Source organism: Homo sapiens, chromosome 9 (genome assembly GCF_000001405.40).
Source record: "Homo sapiens chromosome 9, GRCh38.p14 Primary Assembly".
NCBI lineage: Eukaryota > Metazoa > Chordata > Mammalia > Primates > Hominidae > Homo > Homo sapiens.
This window is the reverse complement of record NC_000009.12, coordinates 36321910-36343547: the sequence shown is the minus strand read 5'-3', so window position 1 is coordinate 36343547 and position 21638 is coordinate 36321910. Positions and strand designations below refer to the sequence as shown.

The 21638-nt window shown below is 43.2% G+C and overlaps 1 protein-coding gene across 26 annotated transcripts in view; it reads left to right on the top strand.

The window, feature by feature from the left end:
* The window catches only part of RNF38 (ring finger protein 38), a 151270-nt gene extending 144122 nt beyond the window's left edge, over positions 1–7148 (top strand). For all 26 annotated transcript variants that reach the window (XM_047422796.1, XM_047422795.1, XM_047422794.1 and 23 more), the window contains 2 exons: positions 1124–1223; positions 3734–7148. In XM_047422796.1, coding sequence (XP_047278752.1) covers positions 1124–1223; positions 3734–3796 — 163 coding nt within the window. In that variant the 3' untranslated portion in view covers positions 3797–7148. The remainder of the gene's footprint in view (positions 1–1123; positions 1224–3733) is intronic.
* The last annotated feature ends 14490 nt before the right edge of the window (positions 7149–21638 follow it).

Genomic DNA, 21638 nt, shown 5'->3' with positions numbered 1-21638 from the left:
CAGATTTGATTTGCATTTCCCTGATGGCTAATGATCTTGAGTGTGTTTTCATGTGCTACTAGCCATTTGTGTACCTTCTTTCCAGAAATGTCTATTCTGATCCTTGCTTCATTTTCCATAAATTGGTTTGTCTTTGTATTATTGAGTTGTAGAGGTTTTATACATATTATAGATCTCACCAGATAAATTATCTTCAAAAATGTCTTCTCTCAGAACAGGGATCTCTGAGGAATAGAATAATAAAAAGTGTAAAAAAAATGTTTTGCCATTCTGTGGATTGTTGAGTTTTTCAGTGATGTCCTTTGAAGCACAAAATGTTTAAATTTTGATTTTGGTTTATTTCAGCCTACACTAAGCCCTCTGTATTCAACCAACCAAAGATTGAAAATATTCAGGAAAAAATAAAAATAGAAAATAACAATAGAGCAATACATAGTACAAATAAAGAACAATACAGTATAACAACTATTTACATAGCACTTACATTGTATTAAGTATTATAGTGATGATTTTAAAGCATATGGGAGGGTGTGCATAGGTCACAAATACTATACCATTGTATATAAAGGATTTGAACATCTGCAGATTTTAGTATCCATTGCAGGTCCTAGAAATCAATCCCCCTCAAATACTGAAGAACAACTGCATTTCTTTTTTTCTTGTTAATTCTTGTGCTTTTAATGTCATCTCCAAGAAACCATTGTCTAATCCAAGGTCATGAAAATTTACTGTGTTTTCTTCTAAGAGGTTAATAGATCAGCTCTTAACACTTAAGCTTTTGATCCATTTGAGTCAGTTTTTATATATGGTATGAGGTAGGGGTCCACCTTTATTCTTTTGTATGTGGACATCCAGTTCTAATACCATTTTTTTTTAAATAGTATAGAATCTTTGGTATTAAGATTGACTTGATGTTAACTAGAAATTTTCTTGCTAATCTGTCAGCAAAGCAAAACTCTTACTGCCTTAACATCACAATTTTTTCAGGGTATTGGTTGATAATTTTGTTTAAAAATTTAAGTGACGTTTTGATAACAGAATAAATTATCTTGTAGGTTTCAGTAGTCATAACAATAGAAAACCATCTGGTTTTGTGGTTAAATGATCTTTTTGCTTTTTTTAGGTGTGTAGTATGCATGTGTGATTTTGAGTCAAGGCAGCTACTTAGAGTCTTACCCTGTAACCACGAGTTCCATGCCAAGTGTGTTGACAAATGGCTTAAGGTAAAGTGATGACATCTTTAAAGGAAATGACATTGAATTTTCTATTTTATTGACCATGGATTAGAGTAAGTTCATAGCTCAGTGGACAGGAAGGAAGACAAAATGGAAACACAGCTTTCAGTATGATCTCTGCAAATGAGAAAAGGCCAGTAAAAATTAACTGCAGTCAACAACATAGGAGTGACTATACAAAATCCAAAATGGATGACCTCTTGACAATCAGTATGTCCTTTTTCATGGTATATAGGGACAAGGCCCGAACTTGCTAGGCCACAGTTTGAGAGTTTAGAAGGCTACCTAATTATAGCTCTATTTTCAGAGGTTAGCATGGAGAAAAATACATCTAGTGTTTTTATTTAATTCTGACCATTTTCTCCTTTGTATATATGAACAAAAGCACAAAGGACACAAATCCTAAGAGTGGCTATGCCAGAGTGAAATTATTGCAGGGGCTTCTTTATATATATATATATATATATATATATATATATATATATATATATATATATATATATATATATATATATATATTTTGAAACAGGGTCTCAGTGTGTCACCCAGTCTGGAGTGCAGCGGTACAGTCATGGCTCAATGTAGCCTTGACATCCCAGGCTCAAGCGAGACTGGGTGTCACTATGTTGCCCAGACTGGTCTGGAACTCTTGGGCCCAAGCAATCCTCCCACCTCAGCCTCCCAAAGTGTTGGGATTATATACTGCACCTGGCTATTTAATGTTTAAAAAAAAAAGTTTACAAAAGCTGCTTTTTTACTCTTCATAGTTTCATAGTCTCAAATTGTGATACAGTAAAATGTGATACAGTAAAAGAATTTTAATAGGCTGGGTGCAGTGGCTCCATGACTATATAAAAAAAATATAGTCAAATTTATGTTATTTTTTAAATTAAGTGTTCCGGTTTGGATAAAACTAGATAACCTTACTATTTGGTGAGGAAGATAAAGTCAGTTCTGAGGGAGCACAGTTCCAGAGATCTAGTTTAGCCCAAACTCAATCCTGAAGACAAAGAGTCTTAAATTATTTTAAAAGGAAAGCATTATATGTGTAAATCCCTGACACGTGCGGACAGAGAATCAGAAAACCACAAGTTCCGTGTGGCTGATAGTTGGAATGTGAGGAAGAGTGGGAAAAGAAAAGGTGTTCAGAGATAAAATCAATGAGCGGCTTGTTGTGAAGCCACTCTGAAGCGTAAAGGAGTTTAGTGTGATCCTGAAAGCATTTGGGAAGTATATAACAGACTGTTTTATAGAAGGATTTCTGGCCACTGTTCTAATAAAAGAGGTAATTTCTGAGAGACAGGGAGATAGAATAAAGACATGGTGGGCCAGAGAATGGATAGTAGCAACTAGATGAAAAGAGGGACTGATTTGAGAATTACTGTAATGCAGAAATAAGATTATGTGCTGAATAATGGGGTTGTAGGAAGTAGGAGAGCAGGTGATGCTTATGTGTCTGGCATTAGCAACTCCACAAATTATGGTCCCATTTGTTGAAATGGAGAAAGCAAATTTAGGAGCCAGGGAACAGGTGAGTAAGTAGAGCTATCAGTATAGAGTCAGTCACCTATTTTACAATCAAGCTTTCCTCGGTACCACTAAATGTTTTCTGTGACTTCATTCCATTAAGAATAGCCAAGGGGCCAGGAATGGTGACTCAGGCATGTAATCCCAACATTTTGGGAGGCAAAGGCAGGAGGATCATTTGAGGCCTGGAGTTTGAGACCAGCCTGGGCAACTTAGTGAAACCCGTCTTTTAAATTGGTTGGGTGTGGTGGCACACACCTGTTAATCCTAGGTTTTCAGGAAGCTGAAGCAGGAGGATCACTTAGGCCCAGGAGTTCAAGTCTGTAGTGAGCTGTAGTCATGCCACTGTGCTCCTGTGGGCAACAGGGTTTAACCCTGTCTCAAAAAACGGGGGAAAAAAAGACTAACCAAGCTTTTACTTTAATGTCAGTTGTTAACTTGGTCCAAACTGGTCAATGGTAATCTTGTTTATATATTTTAACAGACCTACTAAAAATCATTCATGGCGGCCAGGCGCAGTGGCTCACGCCTGTAATCCCAGCACCTTGGGAGGCCATGGTGGGTGGATCACCCGAGGTCAGGAGTTTGAGACCAGCCTGACCAACATGGTGAAACCCCGTCTCTACTAAAATACAAAAATTAGCCAGGCATGGTGGTGGGCACCTGTAATCTCAGCTGCTCGGGAGGCTGAGACGGGAGAATCGCTTGAACCCAGGAGGCAGTGGTTGCAGTGAGTTGAGATCGTGCCATTGCACTCCAGCCTGGGCAACAAGAGCGAAACTCCATCTCAAAAAAAAAATTCCTGGGCTAATTCGGAGGTTTATGGGTTAAAAAAAGGCAAAAATTGCTTTGTACCTCTTCAGAGGAAGAAAGAATGTAAAAACTGTGGGAAGTAAAAGTAGTTCCATTGCTTTGAATGTGTTTCATTGTATGTGTCACAATTTAAACAAGTTTTCCTTTTTGTTTTGTAGGCAAATCGTACTTGCCCAATTTGCCGAGCTGATGCTTCAGAAGTGCATCGGGATTCAGAATGACCAACCTAAGAAGCACAAATTTAGTTTGGGTGTTCCTCATCACATGTATATACGGACTATCCATTGAACTTAATCTGTGTGGCTTCCAGCCCTCCCTTTACCAAAAGGGTCAATGGACCTTTCTTTGCACTGTGTGACTTAATCAACTATAAAAGCTTACAATTAGTCTTCACAGTTATGGGATTGTTATACTAACCGTGTGATTGGAACTCCAAAGACTTTTTCTTTAGCTTAATTTTGTGTGTGCACTAACATTCCCTGGTTTTTGTGTGATCATTCCGAGTGTTGCTGCAAGATTACAGTGGACGTGATCTTTTAGCATGTGCTTTTATAAAAAGTGGTAGCTACAGATGATATAGCAATCTACCTTATATAGAGCCTTCAGAAACTGTGAGTGGAAATGAATGCGCAGCGTATGACTGTTGGTGATAAGTGTATCTGTGTGAGTGTGTGCAACTACTTGTGTGAGGGCATGGTAGCTAACGTGTGTATGAGATCCTATATACCAGCATGTACCAAGAATGTGTGTGTAGTTTTAATTATGCTGCAATGTATAATCTGGTGTGTTATTTAAACAGCACTAGTACTGTACACTGGTTTTTTTCCCTTGTGTTTGCTGTTGCACACTGATTGCTGAGGGTGCATCAATTACAAGCATTGAATACTCCATCCCCTTCCCTCCCAGTGAATGGAATGAGAAAAGCCTTCTTCCTTTGCTTCAGGCAGCTGTCACCTTCTCTTTATTGGTGGTCCTAAGTGGGTCACTTAAGAAAAAAAAGTGTAACAAATTCTCGCTCCATGAACCTGGTTTTTTTTTATTCTGTTGTGGAAATTTTTAAATCTCCAACTTGCTGTTTCCAAAAAGAAGGTGCAATATCATATATCATCAGTTAGCAATATTAGCATTTCAATCAGTGATTTGAATGTTGATACTTTTTTTTCCTTTACATTTCCAGTAAGTTTCTTACAGAAAGTACCTGTGATTTTTTTTAATGTTTAGATTTGTAGTCTAGTCTATTCTGAAGATATTTGATTAATATATTTCTAAGAAGACCACTAGTCCCATGAAGTCTCACCTTGTTGACTTCCACCAGAACAAAACCTGTTAATTCAGCTTGACTTCTCATATGTGTTCTGTGTTCAAGCTCCTGTGGGCAACTCAATTGTTTTAAGAAAACTCTATTTCTGTTCATATTAATTCACTTGCCAGACTCCAATTCTGAAAGTTGTCTAGTTCTTCCTTCATCACACGTGCTTCTCATCGAAACCCTGGTTTCAGGATGGATCAAGTGCTGTTACAGCTCATGTTCCTTAGACCTGATTTGTTTTGATATTTTACTGCCTTTCCTTTTAATTTTTGTTTGAATGAGAAAAGTTTAATACAACAGGTGTCCAGAATACTTGCAGTATAAATGAAGATTTGGTTTTTGTATAAAAAAATAATGCTGTTAAACAGGAGTTGACCTTCATTTAGTTGATGTAATACATAGCTGTATGGGGTTTTTTTTAGTAAGTTCTTTGAGCATAATTCACTTTAAAGTCATTTTTCCAGCAATGTTTAAATTACTTTCTCATTCTTTTAGTGTATTCAACATTGTCTGCCTCTTCCTGCAGTTGATGTAATTGCTTTGTTTGCAATAGCACAAGCTGCATTATTCCAGTCAGGACTGTGATAACTTGCTGCCAGCCCCACTCAACTTTCAGTTGGCTCTGTGTCAGTTTTCCATTCAGTGTTAACTACTTGTTACTGCCATGCTGCTTGCCCTCCCTTGAAGTGTCTATAAGCTCATCACAGCCTAGAGTTAAGTAAAGTCAATTCACAGAAGCACAATTTTGCCCTTTGCGAGACATTGTTGCCTCTATCTAGTCCTACAAGTAGGGTTTTGCATACTGTGTTTGCCCCTAGGGTTGTCAGTGCATCAGAAATACTTCTAAATAGTGGTAAAAATGCACATGGTTAATGCACATGTTACTTTTAAATCATTAGGATATCCCTCACCTGTTCCTGATGAATAAAAAGTGTGTTAAAGACCAAAATTCTTGGCATAATAATCAGCTACATACAAATCACATATAGTTTAATCTTTTTTAATGAAAAAAAATCATGTTTAAAATGGCAAAAGCCCATCTTATACACTTTTATATAGCTGCAAAAAATTTATATCTGTACAGATCTAACACTACGACACTCAGTATTCATTTTATTGAAGCATGCAAGTAAAGCACTTTTTCTAATTTATATAGAGGTATCTAATTAACACAGCACATTGTACTAATGACTAGGAGTAGCAGCTTTTTCTTCTCTCCCTCTATGAATTCTTATAATGTCCCTTTTTCTGTAAGTTTTTGAGAGGCAATTGGCAATTTAGGAGGCAGCAGGGTCTGTTTTGGTCAAATCTTGAATTTCGTTGTTGCACTCTAGTGACTGATCTTTGGGAATGTCTTGTCTTTGCATGGGGCTCATAGAGATGTGTGCAGACTTGCTTATTGTGGTTAGTGTGTATCAGGAACACACACACAGGTGTTCTGACCAGCTCAGGCTTGCCACAGTGAGCAACTCTGTGGCTAGCAAAAGAGAAGTTTATTTGTGCCCAGCCATTGGTCACCTTGGGTGATGCACCAGATAGCAGGCAGATGTTGGTTCATTGGCCTTCGTCCTCTTTCCTCCTAAAATAATATTGGCTTTACCATCTTAACTCAGCTGTGGGTTTTTTGTGGGTTCTTGTTTGTTTTTTGGCATGAATTGTCATCTTTGGTGTTTTTTTAACCCCCAGCCCCTCAAAAAAATAAGGCCTCCAGGTATCAAGATCTCATATTAGGATTTTCTGTCCTTAATTTTTTGAGCAAAATCTGGAAAATGTGAAAGCATATTTAGATTTTATATACTATCTGAAATGTGATTTGTTAAGATTCTTAAATTTGGGCCTCTTAGAATAATTTTGAATGAGATCTACCGACTCACTTGTGAGAATATTTTTCACAGATTATCTTTGGGCCTTTTCATTAGAAAGCTGTTTGTTTGTCCCCCTGTTGGTACATTTGGTTACCTCATTTTGCCGTTTCAGATTGTGAAAGCTCACAGGGGTGTTTTTTGGAATCATTTGCTGAGTCATTTTCTCAAATCATATTCCATTGTATCAGTTAACATATAGTTTTAAATGTATGTATTATAAATATCTGTAACCAAATCATTTGAAGGCTTGATAAATTTTTAACAAAGTTTGTACATTTTTTATGAAAGTTACTAGTAATGCTTTACTAAGTAGTGCAATGAATTTTTATTTTTAATCCCTGTGCCCAATTTTGGAGTTGAGAGGGTTGTTGGTAATAAATGTATGATGTACACTTAAAACATCTGTTGTGTTTCATGTCACTGTGTTAGGGATGGGGAAGGGTTGTATATGCATGGGGATGGAGAGATAGATAGCAGCAGGAAGATAGAGCTGGGTTGAATTACTGGCTGCCAGATTCTGTATTTCTGCATTTGTGTAAACAACTTAGAAATGCAAAAGTAACTAGCGTTGTAACATATGGTACATATTTATATATTTTATATATATATATATATATATATTTTTTTTTTTTTTTTTTTTTGAGACAGAATCTCACTCTGTCACCCATGCTGGGGTGCTCAATCTCAGCTCACTGTAACCTCTGCAGCCCTGGTTCAAGCGATTCTCCTGCCTCAGTCTCCCAAGTAGCTGGGATCCCGCCACTGTGCCTGGCTAATTTTTGTATTTTTAGTAGAGACAGGGTTTCACCATTTTGGCCAGGCTGGTCTTGAACTCCTGACCTCGTGATCCACCCACCTCAGCCTCCCAAAGTGCTGGGATTATAGGCGTGAGCCACCGCGCCCGGCCATATTTATATTTTTATAAAGGCCAAGAACATAGCAGAAAGAGTATAGCCAAACATGGTATATGCATATTGAACAGTAGAGATACATAAGTAGAGCCTGGCAACATAGTGAGACCCCCATCTCTACAAAAATGTTTTAAAAATTAGCTGGGCCTGGTGGCGCACACCTATAGTCCTAGCTACTTAGAAGTCTGAGGTTGGAGGATCACTTGAGCCCAGGAATTTGAGGTTACAGTGAGCTATATTTGTGCCACTGCACTCCAGCCTGGGCAATAGCAAGAAGACCCTGTCTCTTCAGGAAAAATAAAAAATAAAAGGCTGGGTGTGGTGGCTCACACCTGTAGTCCTGGCACTTTGGGAGGCTGAGTTGGGCGGATCATGAGGTCAGGAGTTCAAGACCAGCCTGGCCAACCTGGTGAAACCCTGTCTCACTAAAAATACAAAAATTAGCCAGGCATGGTGGCACATGTCTGTAATCCCAGCTACTTGGGAGGCTGAGGCGGGAGAATCACTTGAACCAGGGAGGCGTAGGTTGCGGTGAGCCAAGATCGTGCCACTGCACTCCAGCCTGGGTGACAGCAAGACTCCATCTTGGGAAGGCGGTAAAAAAAAAAAAAAGATAACGTAGGTAACTAGAATTCAACTAGAGTTCTTTCTACAAGACTGCAATAGACAACTATTTAGATTTGTCCACATTAGCTACAGTTTATATACAACTTACTGTCAACATAATATGGAAGGAGGAGCCTCTGCTTGTCATTTTCCATATATGTTTGTATAATAGTTTTCCTTTGACTAAAAAAGGAAGGAAATATAAACAATCTACATAGGCTTTGTTAATTAAGATTTTACCCTCTTGACTGGCTCCAGTACTCCTCTGACAGAAGTGACCACATCCTGATTTTATTCCCTCCTTTTTCCAACATACGTAGAAGAGTACTTGTGTTTAACTTTGAATGTTTCAAGAAACCCAAAACTTAACACCATGTCTTATGACAGAGGCATTTACTGCTAAGTACCCATGCACTATCCCAAGTCACCCTACTTACATAAGTCATGGAGGGGCATGGTTCTGGCCAAGGGCCTGTAAGCATAGGCTATGTGGCCTTTCCATGCAGAAGCATATATAAAAGCCAGCTCTCTTCGTCTGCTTGGGTAGTGGCGGCCTGAGTCACTCCCTAGAAAAGAGTTGTGTTTTTTGTTTTGTTTTGTTTTTTTCCCCTGCTCTGTCCCCCAGGCTGGAGTGCAGTGACGTGATCTCGGCTCACGGCAACCTCTGTCTCCTGGGTTCAAGTGATTCTCCTGCTTCAGCCTCCCGAGTAGCTGGGATTCAAAGTATGTGCCACAACACCCATCTAATTTTTGTATTTTTAGTAAAGACGGGGTTTTGCCATGTTGGCCAGGCTGGTCTCAAACTCCTGACCTCAGGTGATTCACCCGCCTCAGCCTCCCAAAGTGCTGGGGTTACAGGCATGAGCCACTGCGCCTGGCCGGGAGGATGAGATTCTTATGAATGGGATCACATCACACAGCCAATGTTTCAGCTCTCTTGTACACTTTAATGAACTGGATGAACAAGGCCGTTCAATAAAGTGTAATTAGCCACATGATTTTAAATTTTGTGAGCCACATTAAAAACAGTTGAAATTATTTTTAATATTCAGTCCAATATGCCAAAATATTTCTACTGTAATATTAAGATACTTTATATTTTCTCATACCAAGTCTTTGAAATCCAGTGTGTATGTTACATTGATGATGCATCTCAGTTTGGACCAGCCACATTTCAAATGCTCAGTAGCCACACGTGCATAGTGGCCAAGTTAGATGGCACAGGTCTAGACCAGAACTATGCAGAGTTAACCTGGTTTCTAAAGAGTTGAACGTTACTCGTGAGATCCCAAGATGACTTTCTATTATTGTATGCCTTAACAAACTACAGTATGATTTTAAAACATTTTATTCTATATATAGTTGAATGTAACTTTTGTTGCTACAATACATTAGAAAATACTCATTTTTAAAGCAGTCTTAATTTCTCTGAAGCTGCCATAGATTCAAGAACAAAGCTCCTTGTTTGTCAGTAAATCTTCAGATATATTTGCTTGAATTCACAGCTATTTAAAATAATTGGGCCAGGCACAGTGGCTCCCGTCTGTAATCCCAGTACTTTGGAGGCCAAGGTGGGTGGATCACTTGAGGCCAGGAGTTCAAGACCAGCCTAGCCAACATGGTGAAACCCCATCTCTACTAAACATACAAAAAAAAAAAAAAAGGGCTGGGCATGGTGGCTCACGCCTGTAATCCCAACACTTTGGGAGGCCAAGGCAGGCGGATCATGCGGTCAAGAGATCGAGACCATCCTGGCAAACATGGTGAAACCCTGTCTCTACTAAAAATATAAAAATTTGCTGGGTGTGGTGGCGCATGTCTGTAGTCCCAGCTACTTGGGAGGCTGAGGCAGGAGAATCATTTGAACCCAGGAGGTAGAGGTTGCAGTGAGCTGAGATCGCACCACTGCACTCCAGCCTGGTGACCCAGCGAGACTCCATCTCAAAAAAAAGAAAAAGCCGGGCGAGGTAGCAGATGCCTACTGTAATCCCAGCTACTCGGGAGGCTGAGGCAGGAGAATCACTTGAACCCAGGAGGCAGAGGTTGCAGTGAGCCAAGATCATGTCACTGCACTCCAGTCTGGGCAACAGAGTGAGACTCCGTCTCAAAAAAAAAAATAATTTGATCCTCATAAAATTCAGCATTCCAAAGAATTGGGGGTAGGAAACTTGAGCCCCACTTTGAGATGGGGTGGATTCCTCTTGAGATACTCTACAGCACACATACTCTTGACCTTTTCATGTATCTCTGTCTCCTAATTTGGCAGGAAATATAGGAAAAGGAACAAGGGAAAAACATAGTGACAGCCAGGAATATTGAATGTCACCTTATAATCTGAAAATATGTGGTAGAATTAGTTTGGATGTTTTCCCACTATATAGAAGAAGTGACTTGTTCAGGAAGAAGAAATCCACATCCCCTTCAAATGTCTAGTTCTTGGTCTACACATGGGAACAATACATGGTGACTGGTTAATAACCAATGGTCCACACCTAGGAGTCTGCCAGGACCCACTAGTCTGGCTAAATAAGGTGGTTATTGTATATCTTCTGGTGAAGAGTTCTCCAGTTGGGTGTGGTGGCTCACACCTGTAATCTCAGCACTTTGAGAGGCTGAGTCTGGCTGATGGCTTGAGCTCAGGAGTTTGAGACCAGGCTGGTCAACATGGCGAAACCTCATCTCTACAAAAAATACCAAAAAAAAAAAAAAAGCCGGACGTGATGGTGCACATCTGTAGTCCAGGCTACTAGGGAGGCTGAGGCAGGAGAATTGCCTGAGCCCAGGAGGTGGAGGCTGCAGTGAGCTCTGATCATGCCACTGCACTCCAGCCTGGATGACAGAGTGAGGCCCTGTCTTTAAAAAAAAAAAAATTCTCCAAATGTGTGCTGAGGCAGATTTCTGATAGTTCAAACTTAACCCTAGTATGATAGACATTTCTGTAGTCAGTGTAAGCAGTATGGTATCCAGACATCCTAATTGGCTCTTTTTCTCCTTTTCTGCTTTTGGACATCAGTACTAAACTTAAGCTGAATCAGAGGAAAATAACAACTCATCTACCAAAATAAGGCCGGTCCCCTTGCCAATAAAAAATGTGTCACTATCCATGGTGATTCACACTCAGAATGCCCCAGCCTTGATGCCATTAAAGAGGAAAATAGGTCACATTTACTCTAATTCCAGAAGATCTACAGGAAACTGGGACCATCTCTCTGATCCAAGCTACTAAATTTTAGTTAGGGAAACAAATCAGGAAAAAGAGCTCACGTTCAGTTATTCTTGTTCAACACACACAAAGAGAGGTCCAGGTCCTTGCTAAGGAATATTCACAACCTAACTCAGCTCCGCGAGCTTTTATTGAGCACCAGCTTATGCCAGGCAGCTTTGAAATCAGGTCTTTAGTGTATTCATTTCTTAGTGCTGCCATAACAAGTTACCACAAATGTGATGGCTTAAAGCAAAGTTATTCTCTCATAGTTGAGGCCACAAGTTAAAAGTCAAGATGTTGGCAGAGTTGGTTTTCTGTGATGGCTCTGGGGGAGAATTCATTCCATGCCTTTCCTAGTTTCTGATGGCTGCTAGCAACCCTTGGCTTATCTTGGCTTGTAGACATAACTCCAATCTCTGCTTCTGTCTTCACATGGCCACCTCCCACGTGTGTATCTTCTTCAGCTGGGTGGAAGTTCCCATGCCTCTACATAGATGTCAGCAATAAGATCGGCTGTAGGGATACTTGAAAGAAAAGCCCAATTCAGGCCGGGTACGGTGGCTCATCCCTGAAATCCCAGCATTTTGGGAGGCCGAGGCAAGCAGATCACCTGAGGTTGGGAGTTTGAGACCAGCCTGACCAACATGGAGAAATCCCATCTCTACTAAAAATACAAAATTAGTCAGGCATCGTGGCACATGCCTGTAATCCCAGCTACTCGGGAGGCTGAGGTAGGAGAATCACTTGAGCCCGGGAGGTGGAGGTTGTGATGACCAAGATTGTGCCATTGCACTCCAGCCTGGGCAACAAGAGCGAAAACCCCTCTCAAAAAATAGCCAGATTTGTTTCAACTCAATAAATCATTTGGATCTGTTCCAACAAATGAACTTGAGACTTCAGAATGTCTCATCATAAAGGATGGCCAAAATAATTTGGCCTAGAAAATGTTAACAAAGCTCACTCATTCCTGCAGTCAAAGATAAACCTCAGTCATGCTCTCACAGATTGATTTAGAGTAGCACTGCTTCCTGGTAGGTCCATGAAGATAAATTCACTATGAAATGTATCATCAGATAGATGAGCTTAAAGGGAATAGGAAGCCTACAACCTGTGTCCCACATGGAGAATCAAAATCTAGTGAACCTTGAAGACATGCTAAGTGAAAGCAGCCAGACACAAAAGGCCACTTATTGTATGATTCTGTTTATTTTTATTTTATTATTTTTTGAGACAGAGTCTCGCTCTGTCGCCCAGGCTGGAGTGCAGTGGCGCGATCTCTGCTCACTGCAAGCTCCGCCTCCCGGGTTCACGCCACTCTCCTGCCTCAGCCTCCCTAGTAGCTGGGATTACAGGCGTCGCCACCACACCCAGCTAATTTTTTGTATTTTTAGTAGAGACAGGGTTTCACCGTGTTAGCCAGGATGGTCTCGATCTCCTGACCTTGTGATCTGCTAGCCTCGGCCTCCCAAAGTGCTGGGATTACAGGCGTGAGCCACCGTGCCTGGCCTGTATGATTCTGTTTATATGAAATGTTAAGAATTGGCAACTCTACAGAGAAAGTATTAATAGATCAGTGGTAGACTAGAGCTGAGGGGATGGTGGAGTTGAGGGTGATAATGAAAGGCTATAAAGTTTATTTGGGGGGTAATGAAAATGTTCTAAAATTGATTATGGTGATGGATGACAACTCCAAGTATACTGGAAGCCACTGAATTGTACACAGTAAGTGGATCAATTGTATGGTGCAATTATCTATAATTGAACTGTGTCTTAATAAAGCTGCTTTTAAAAAGTACGATGACATATACCCACCAGAAAATATCTATAATTAGAAAGATTAACAATACCATATGTTGGTGAGGATGTGAAGCAAACTGAAATTCTCATCTGCTGTTGATGGTAATATAAATTGGAACAACCAATTTAGACAACTGGTTGGCATTGTCTACTAAAGTTCATGCGCTATAACCCAGTCATTCTTCTTCTAGGTATATTCCTAATAAAATGCATGCATATGGGCACCAAAAGGCATGTACAATAATGTTCATAGCAGGCTATAAAAGCCCAACCCTGGAAACAATCCAAATGTTTATCGACCATAGGACTGATGATAAATTATGGTTGAGCTTTACAATGGTTTTTATACAGCAAAGAGAAAACCAACTACACCAAGCAACATGGGTAAATGTTGCTAATGTATTGAATAAGATCCAAAAGAACACACTCTTGTGTCTTATTCAATATACTTGTGAGAATATTCTTACAAATTGTTCCAGTCATAGAAATATCAACAAGCAGAATTGATCTGTGATGTGAGAAGACGTGACCGTGATTACCCTAGCCAGGCAGTCGTGACCTACAGGAGTTCAGGGCATGAGGAGGCATCTGGGCTGTCAGTCATTTTTTATTTGTTGATCTACGTGCTTGGTTACACAAATGGTTCAATTTGAGAAATTCATTGTTCAATCTTCTGTATCATTTTATAAACTTTTTTTTTTGAGTTTTGCTCTTGTTGCCCAGGCTGAAGTGCAGTGGCGCGATCTCGACTCACTGCAGTGTCCGCCTTCCAGGTTCAAGTGATTCTCCTGCCTCAGCCTCCCAAGTAGCTGGAACTACAGGCATGCGCCACCATGCCCGGCTAATTTTTTTTTGTATTTTTAGTAGAGACAGGGTTTCTCCATGTTGGTTGGTCAGGCTGGTTTCGAATTCCTCAGGTGATCTGCCCGCCTCGGACTCCCAAAGTGCTGAGATTACAGGCATGAGCCACCGCACCCGGCTATAAATTTCATTAAAAAAATAAGTGGTAGACCCCACTCTGTGACACTTTATAGAAGTACAGCTGTACAATGCAAGGGCAGATGAATTTTTATCATCTTAAATGACAGCTTTATCAATATCCCTAATGCTGTACTACATAAAACCTAAACAAGTCCTCCATATCACTTTCCTCATCCCAAAACATGTTTTTAACTTGCTTTTTAAGTAAAAAAGTATCAGAGCAGCAATATTTCTATTAGAATATTGCCACTATGCTAGTAAAGTATTTATGCATGACATTTACACCAGGAGGCGCTGTTGTTCAAAACCAAGTTCCAAATACAGTACAAGCTTCTTAATGCACAGGTCAGGACTGACACGGTTATAAACAGTTAATGTGCTTTCATATTGCTTTTATTCGTGGAAAGCATACATTAGAAATCTGCCTGCCAGAATAGTCCAGGATCGCTACAGCTTACAACCTCATTCCTTCTTGAGCAATGTTGTGTTTATTCCCTGCAGAGTGGGGCTTCTAAAAGTTTATGTGGTTTTTGAATATTTAATAACGGATTTTTTTTTTCTGGTTGTATTCTTTTTTTTTCTTTTGAGACAGAGTCTCATTCTGTCGCCCAGGCTGGAGTGCAGTGGTATGATCTCAGCTCACTGCAAACTCCACCTCCCGGGTTCAAGTGATTCTCCTGCCTCAGCCTCCCGAGTAGCTGGGATTACAGGCACCCACTATGACACCCGGCTAATTTTTGTATTTTTAGTAGAGACAGGGTTTCACCATGTTGGACAGGCTGGTCTCGAACTCCTGACCTCAAGTGATCCGCCCGCCTCAGCCTCCCAAAGTGCTGGGATTACAGGCGTGAGGCACCGTGCCTAGCTTTGGTTGCATTCCAAAATGCAAATTTGTTTAGCTTTAAAATCAAGCCTCCTCTGTGCTGAACAAGACTGATTGCTGCATATGAATTCCACTCCCATGCTCCTTCCACAGTGCCATAGGTACGGTTGAGACTGGAGCTACCATGTCGGCCGAGGCCTGCCTCTCCCAACCACAGGTTTGCCAGTGGCTTCCTAAATGTCAGGTCTAATAAACACGTTCCAGTCTTTGTGCTGCTGGACTGCTCTGTGGTGTGAGACTCTCTGCATATCGAGGTGTGGAGGCCTGGCAGGGACAGGCCAGAGGAAGGCTGCTGCGGCTCCCATGACTCGCCCTTTGGCTGTCATGTGATACTCCTCTCACTAAATCCTCAGTGTTGCTCTCTGAGTTCTTTCTCCTGAGTTTCTTTTTCTCTGGCCCACCCGTTCCCATCAGGGCTCACCAGGATATGACCCTCACCATTTTCCCATTCTGCGCACTCTTCCTGGAGCTAGTGCATCCTCTCCTACTTGCATCAGCAACCTTTTTACAGTTCCCCTAACACAGAGATTCCTATCTCCAGTCCCACTTCTCCTTGTGTTTCCTGCTAAACATCTCCTCCTGAAGTTATCCTCCTGAATATCCTGTAGGCCAAGTTGTCCAACCCATGGCCCGCGGGCCCACATGCAGCCCGGGACAGCTTTGAATGTGGCCCAACACAAATTCCTTATCTTTCTTAAAACATGAGATTTTTTGGCAATTTTTTTTCAGCTCATCAGCTATCATTAGTGATAGAGTTTTATGTGCGGCCCAGAAAAGCCAAAAGATTGGACACCCCAGCTGTAGGCACTCAAACTCAACATATCCAAATATGGACTCTTCAAACTTCCCCGCAAACACATTTCTTCTCCTGTACTGCCTGGCTCCATTGCTGGCCTACCATTCACCGGATACCCTAGCCAGAAACAGGAGGGTCATCCTTGACTCTTTCATCTTCTGCCTCCCCAACGCCTAGTGAACGGTCCTTTCCTCTCCCTTTCCTCCACAGCCCTAGTTCAGGCCCCATCATCTCCTGCCTTTCCACGATCTCGCTTCCTGCTTTGTACCCCTCACTTTCATATTCAGACCTCTGCACAGCCTCCAGAGGGAATCACTCAAATACAACCTGATCGTGGCCCCTTTACCCCCGACTCCCACCCATAGCTCCAAACCCTTAAATGGCTCTCCCCTGCCACAGGACAAAGTCCAATCTTATTAGATGCTCCCCTTCGCAACAAGAGCCTTCTTAACCTGCTCCTGATGATGGCTCCAGCCTTGGCTGCCAGGACTCCCTTGCCCGGCATACTACACTCTGGCAGCGTCAGCCTGTTCCCAGTTCCCCGAGACACACTGGGCCCCACATTCCCCTCTGCCTGGAAGTCCTCTTCCTCCCTCCTCTGTCTTCTCCCCTGACTCAATTCTGGTATCCCCTCCTCCAGGAAACCTTTCCTGAATCTTATAAGCCAGGGAGCAAGACGCTCTACACCCTCCTCCTGTTGTGAGCTTGCCAAGTTCTCATTTTTTCCCTTCCCTGGGTGGAAAGGTGTGCTTTCCACTAACCTGCAAGCATCTTGTGCTGGCACTGACTCATGCCTTTACCTCTAGAGCCCAGCACAGGGCCTGGCACATAGCAGGGGTTGAATAAATGCGTGTGTGTGTGTGTGTGTGTGTGTGTGTGTGTGTGTGTGTGTATGTGACAGAGTCTCGCTGTGTCACCCAGGCTGAAGTTCAGTGGCGCAATCTCGGCTCACTGTAACCTCTGCCTCCCAGGCTCAAGCGATTCTCCTGCCTCAGCCTCCCAAGTAGCTGGAATTACAGGTGCACACCACCACCGCCTGGCTAATTTTTGTATTTTTAGTAGAGATGGGTTTCACCATGTTGGCCAGGCTGGTCTCAAACTCCTGACCTCAAGCGATCTGCCTGCCTCGGCCTCCCAAAGTGCTGGGATTACAGGCTTGAGCCACTGCAGGCCAAATAAATGTTTCTTGAATGAAGGAGTGGAGAATAACACTTGGGCTCGAACTGGTTAGGGGGCTGGTGGGAACAGTCCCGTAAGGAGTGAATATTAGAGGAGCAGGTTTTGAGAAGAGTAAGGAAGGAGAGCAGAGTACCCATGAGTGAGGAGGACTGGACTTCACGTGCTGGGAGGTGCCCAGGGCACACGCAAGGGCAGATGTCCAACAGACAAGCTGGATGACCAGACTTAGAGCTCTAGAGAGAAGCCTGGGCAACTGGGTGTTAGCGTGTAATTGTGGCAGCTAAGACAAGGCTGACTTCAGGAGGCCTCAGAAGGAAGCCTCCTTTTTTAAGAGAGGACTACCCCTTTTACTACTAGAGGAAGATTCCTCCCTTCCAGATTAGATCCAGGGTGAAGGCCTTCTTGGGAAAGGCCTCAGGGGCTGTCGAGGGCCTCCAGACAGGTGAGGAGCCACCTGTGCCATCCCAGGGCTGCCTGGGGGCCTTGGGCCAACAACACCTTCTTCAGGACCCTGGGCCTGCTGAGCTGGGCAGGGCTCCTCTCAGCTCTGAGTGATGCACTGCGGAGGCCTGGCAGAGACAGGCCAGAGGAAGGCTGCCGCGGCTCCCATGACTTGCCCAATTCTGGGTGAACCACCTTCCTGGTCTTGTGTATCTAATGAATTAGGTTCAAGTCAGTCATTATTAATCCAGACAGAGTTGACAGCCACCCCGACATACCGCACGCACACAGAAACTGCAACCAGCAACAAGCCCTGGCCCGTGCACAGAACTCAGATGACATCAGCTCCTCGACCGTCCAGGGTCCATGGGGCCCATTGTCCAGAGAGGGCATCGCCTGTCCCACAGGGACTGGCTCATCGAGACTCTTCCTAGGAATCTACCACCCAAACCTGACTTGGAACCAAAGGCCATGCTGGAGGGAAATGCCCCAGAGTCTCATCTCACAAAGATGTGGACGGAAGCTCAGGCCCAGGCAGCCCCAGAGTCTCATCTCACAAAGATGTGGACGGAAACCCAGGCCCAGGCAGCTATTTCTTGAAGCTCCTCAGTGCACTCGGTGAATTGCACAATAAGTAGCCGTAGGGGCTGCTTGGACAAAATGGCTGTGATGAGAGAAAAAGCAGGAAGCTGGCAGAAGTTGTAGGCACAAAGCTGCTGTCACAGCAATCCACCCGTAGGAAGTCCCTGGCCGACCTCACAGGGGCTCGCTCCCTGCTGCTGATCTGCAACGCTAGTTCCGCTTCCGGGCTATCGGCGCAGCTCATAATGACTCTATCCGCTGAGGCCCTCGGGAGTGGGGCCAGGTCAGCGTCCATTTTGTATGACATGACGTGCCCCCTGTGCCCATGGGTGTGCCTTCTCTAGGATTTTGGAACTGAGGGAGGAAGAAAAGAACAGTGATGGCCAGGCGTGGTGGCTCAGGCCTGTAATCGCAGCACTTTGGGAGGCTGAGGCCAGGAGATCGAGATCAGCCTGGCCAACATGGCGAAACCCCGTCTCTACTAAAAATAACAAAAATTAGCTGGGCGTGGTGGCAGGCACCTGTAGTCCCAGCTACTCGGGAGGCTGAGGCAGGAGAATCGCTTGAACCTGGGTGGCAGAGGTTGCAGTGAGCTGAGATCGCACCACTGCACTCCAGCCTGGGTGACAGAGCGAGACTCTATCTCAAAAAAAAAAAAAACCAGGAAAAAAACAAAACAAAAAAAACCAGTAACCGTAGTGGCCACCTTTTCCTGCCGCAAGGCCTAGAGGAGCAGAGAGAGCCTGACTGCAGGAAAAGAGAAGAACAGAGCAGAGACGGAGAGGAGCAGAGAGGGAAGCAGAGCACCCCGATGGAGCATGACCAATGGTCCCTGGTCGTGTCCTACCTGGACCTCAGCTCTCAAGCTCCATGAGACACCCGTGGATCCTTAGGACGAATTCCCCAAGTTTTGGTTTTTATTTTTGAGACAGGGTCTTGCTCCTAGGCTCAAGTCATTGTCCCACTTCAGCCTCCCAAGTAGCTGGAACCACAGGTTTGTGCCACCACTCCCGGCTAATTTTTTAAATTTTTTGTAGAGACAAGAGGTCTCATTATGTTGCTCAGGTTGGCCTCAAACTCCTGAGCTCTAGCAATCTGCCCGCCTCATCCTCCCAAAGTGCTAGGATTACAGGGGTGAGCCACCGCGCCCAGCCAGTTCCCCATGTTTTGACTTGGTAACATAACTCCAATTCGTTGAGAATCCTTATTAACACCAGAGACGTGCCACTAATTAGCAGCGTGTCCATGGGTCATTTGTGTAACCTCTTCAGGCATCATTTCCTCATCTAGCATGTGGGGATACGAAGATACTTCGCAGGATCAAAGGGACGCAAATAACTGAGTGAGAATGAAAGTGCCAACTACGGTATACCCACATGGCAGGCTCATTAACCAACAGCTTTCCTGTGTGAAGACACCTCCAAAGGTCTGGAGAGAAGGTCCTGGAATCATTCACGTATTAATGATACGTGGTTGAAACTCAGCACTGAATGAAAAATCGATTATTTTGCCCTCTAGAGCATTCAGTTTCTTCTAAATCAAAAGAAGCAATATTGTCTTCCGGACTAAGTTCTTGGGTTTACAAATCTAGACATTTTGTCTAATGAACATTTTTCATTGCCTACCAGTAACCATCCCCATTCCTCAAGGCAAATTATCCAATAAAGATAGAGAGCACAAGTCTTTTTTTTTTTTTTTTTTTTTTTTGAGACCAAGTTTCATTCTTGTCACCCAGGCTGGAGTGCACTGGCATGATCTCAGCTCACTGCAACCTCTGCCTCCCTGGTTCAAGCAATTCTCCTGCCTCAGCCTCCTGAGTAGCTGGGATTACAAGTGTGCACCATCATGCCCGGCTAATTTTTGTATTTTTAGTAGAGACAGGGTTTCACCACATTGGCCAGGCTGGTCTTGAACTCCTGACCTCAAGTCATCCACCTGCCTCGGCCTCCCAAAGTGCTGGGATTACAGGTGTGAGCCACCATACCCAGCCAGAGAAACCTTTTTTTTTTTTTTTTTGAGACAGGGTCTTCGCTCTGTCACCCAGGCTGGAGTGCAGTGGTGCAATCTCAACTCACTGCAACCTCCGCCTCCTGGGTTCAAGTGATTCTCCTGCCTCAGCCTCCTGAGTAGCTGGGATCACAGGCACCTGCCAGCATGCCCAGCTAATTTTTGTATGTTTAGTAGAGACGGGGTTTCACCATGTGGGCCAGGCTGGTCTTGAACTCCTGACCTCAGGTGATCCACCTGCCTTGGCCTCCCAAAGTGCTGGGATTACAGGCGTGAGCCACCGCGCCCAGTGGAGTCTTTTTTTTTTTTTTTTTTTTTAAGATGAGGCTCTATGTTATCCAGGCTGGTCTCAAACTCCTGGGCTAAGGGATCTTCCCACCTCATCCTCCTAGGTAGCTAGGATTACAGGCACACGCCATGGCACTCAGCTTTGAAGCCTTTTATAACCTATAGTAACCTTATAACCTAATTGTGGAAGTGACTTGCCATCCCTTTGCTATATTCTTTGGTCGCACAGGCCAATCCTGGTGCACTGTGGGAAGGGACTGCCTAAGGGTGTGGATATCAAGAGGCTGGGATCCCTGGGGCCATCTTGGATGCTGCCTACTACAGAGAATACGTTTCAAGATTTCCTATCAAAATATCCCTGAGGGCAGAGGGGAATGACTGTGAATGGACTCTGCAGGGCCTGCAGGTTTGGCACCAACAGCAAATAGCTCACTACAATGGAGAAATGCCCAGCCAATTTATCCTCTCTTAAGTACATAATAATTACATTACATCCCCGTTACACCAGAAGGTTTAAGTAAATGTGATGCTTTCGGAGCCCTGTGACATACATTGGGTAGGCCCAGTGCTCAACTTCTAGTTTGAAGAGCAGGGCAGGGGAACTTGTTTGGAGACTGGTTAGAGGTCTAGGAAGGCCAAAGTGACAATTGCTTATGAGAATTGGCAACTACAATGCCTGAGGCATTTTTGTTTTTTAACTTATTTTAAGTTCAGGGGTACACGTGCAGGTTTGTTATATAGGTAAACTTGTGTCATGGGGGTTTGTTGTACAGATTATTTTGTCACCCAGACATTAAGTCTTGTATCTATTAGTTATTTTTCCTGACCCTCTCCCTCCTCCCACCCTTCACATCCTGACAGGCCCCAGTGTGTGTTGTTCCCCTCTATGTGTCCTCATCATTTAGCTCCCACTTATAAGTGAGAACATGAGGTATTTGATTTTCTGTTCCTGCATTAGTGTGCTAAAGATAATGGCCTTCAGTTCCATCCATGTTCCTGCAAAGGATATAATCTCATTCTTTTTGATGGCTGCATAGTATTCCATGGTGTATAGGTACCACATTTTCTCTATCCATCTACCACTGATGGGCATTTGGGTTGATTCCGTGTCTTTCCGATTGTGAATAGTGCTGCAATGAACGTATGTGTGCATGTGTCTTTATAATAGAACAATTTGTATTCCTTTGAGTATATACCCAGTAATAGGATTGCT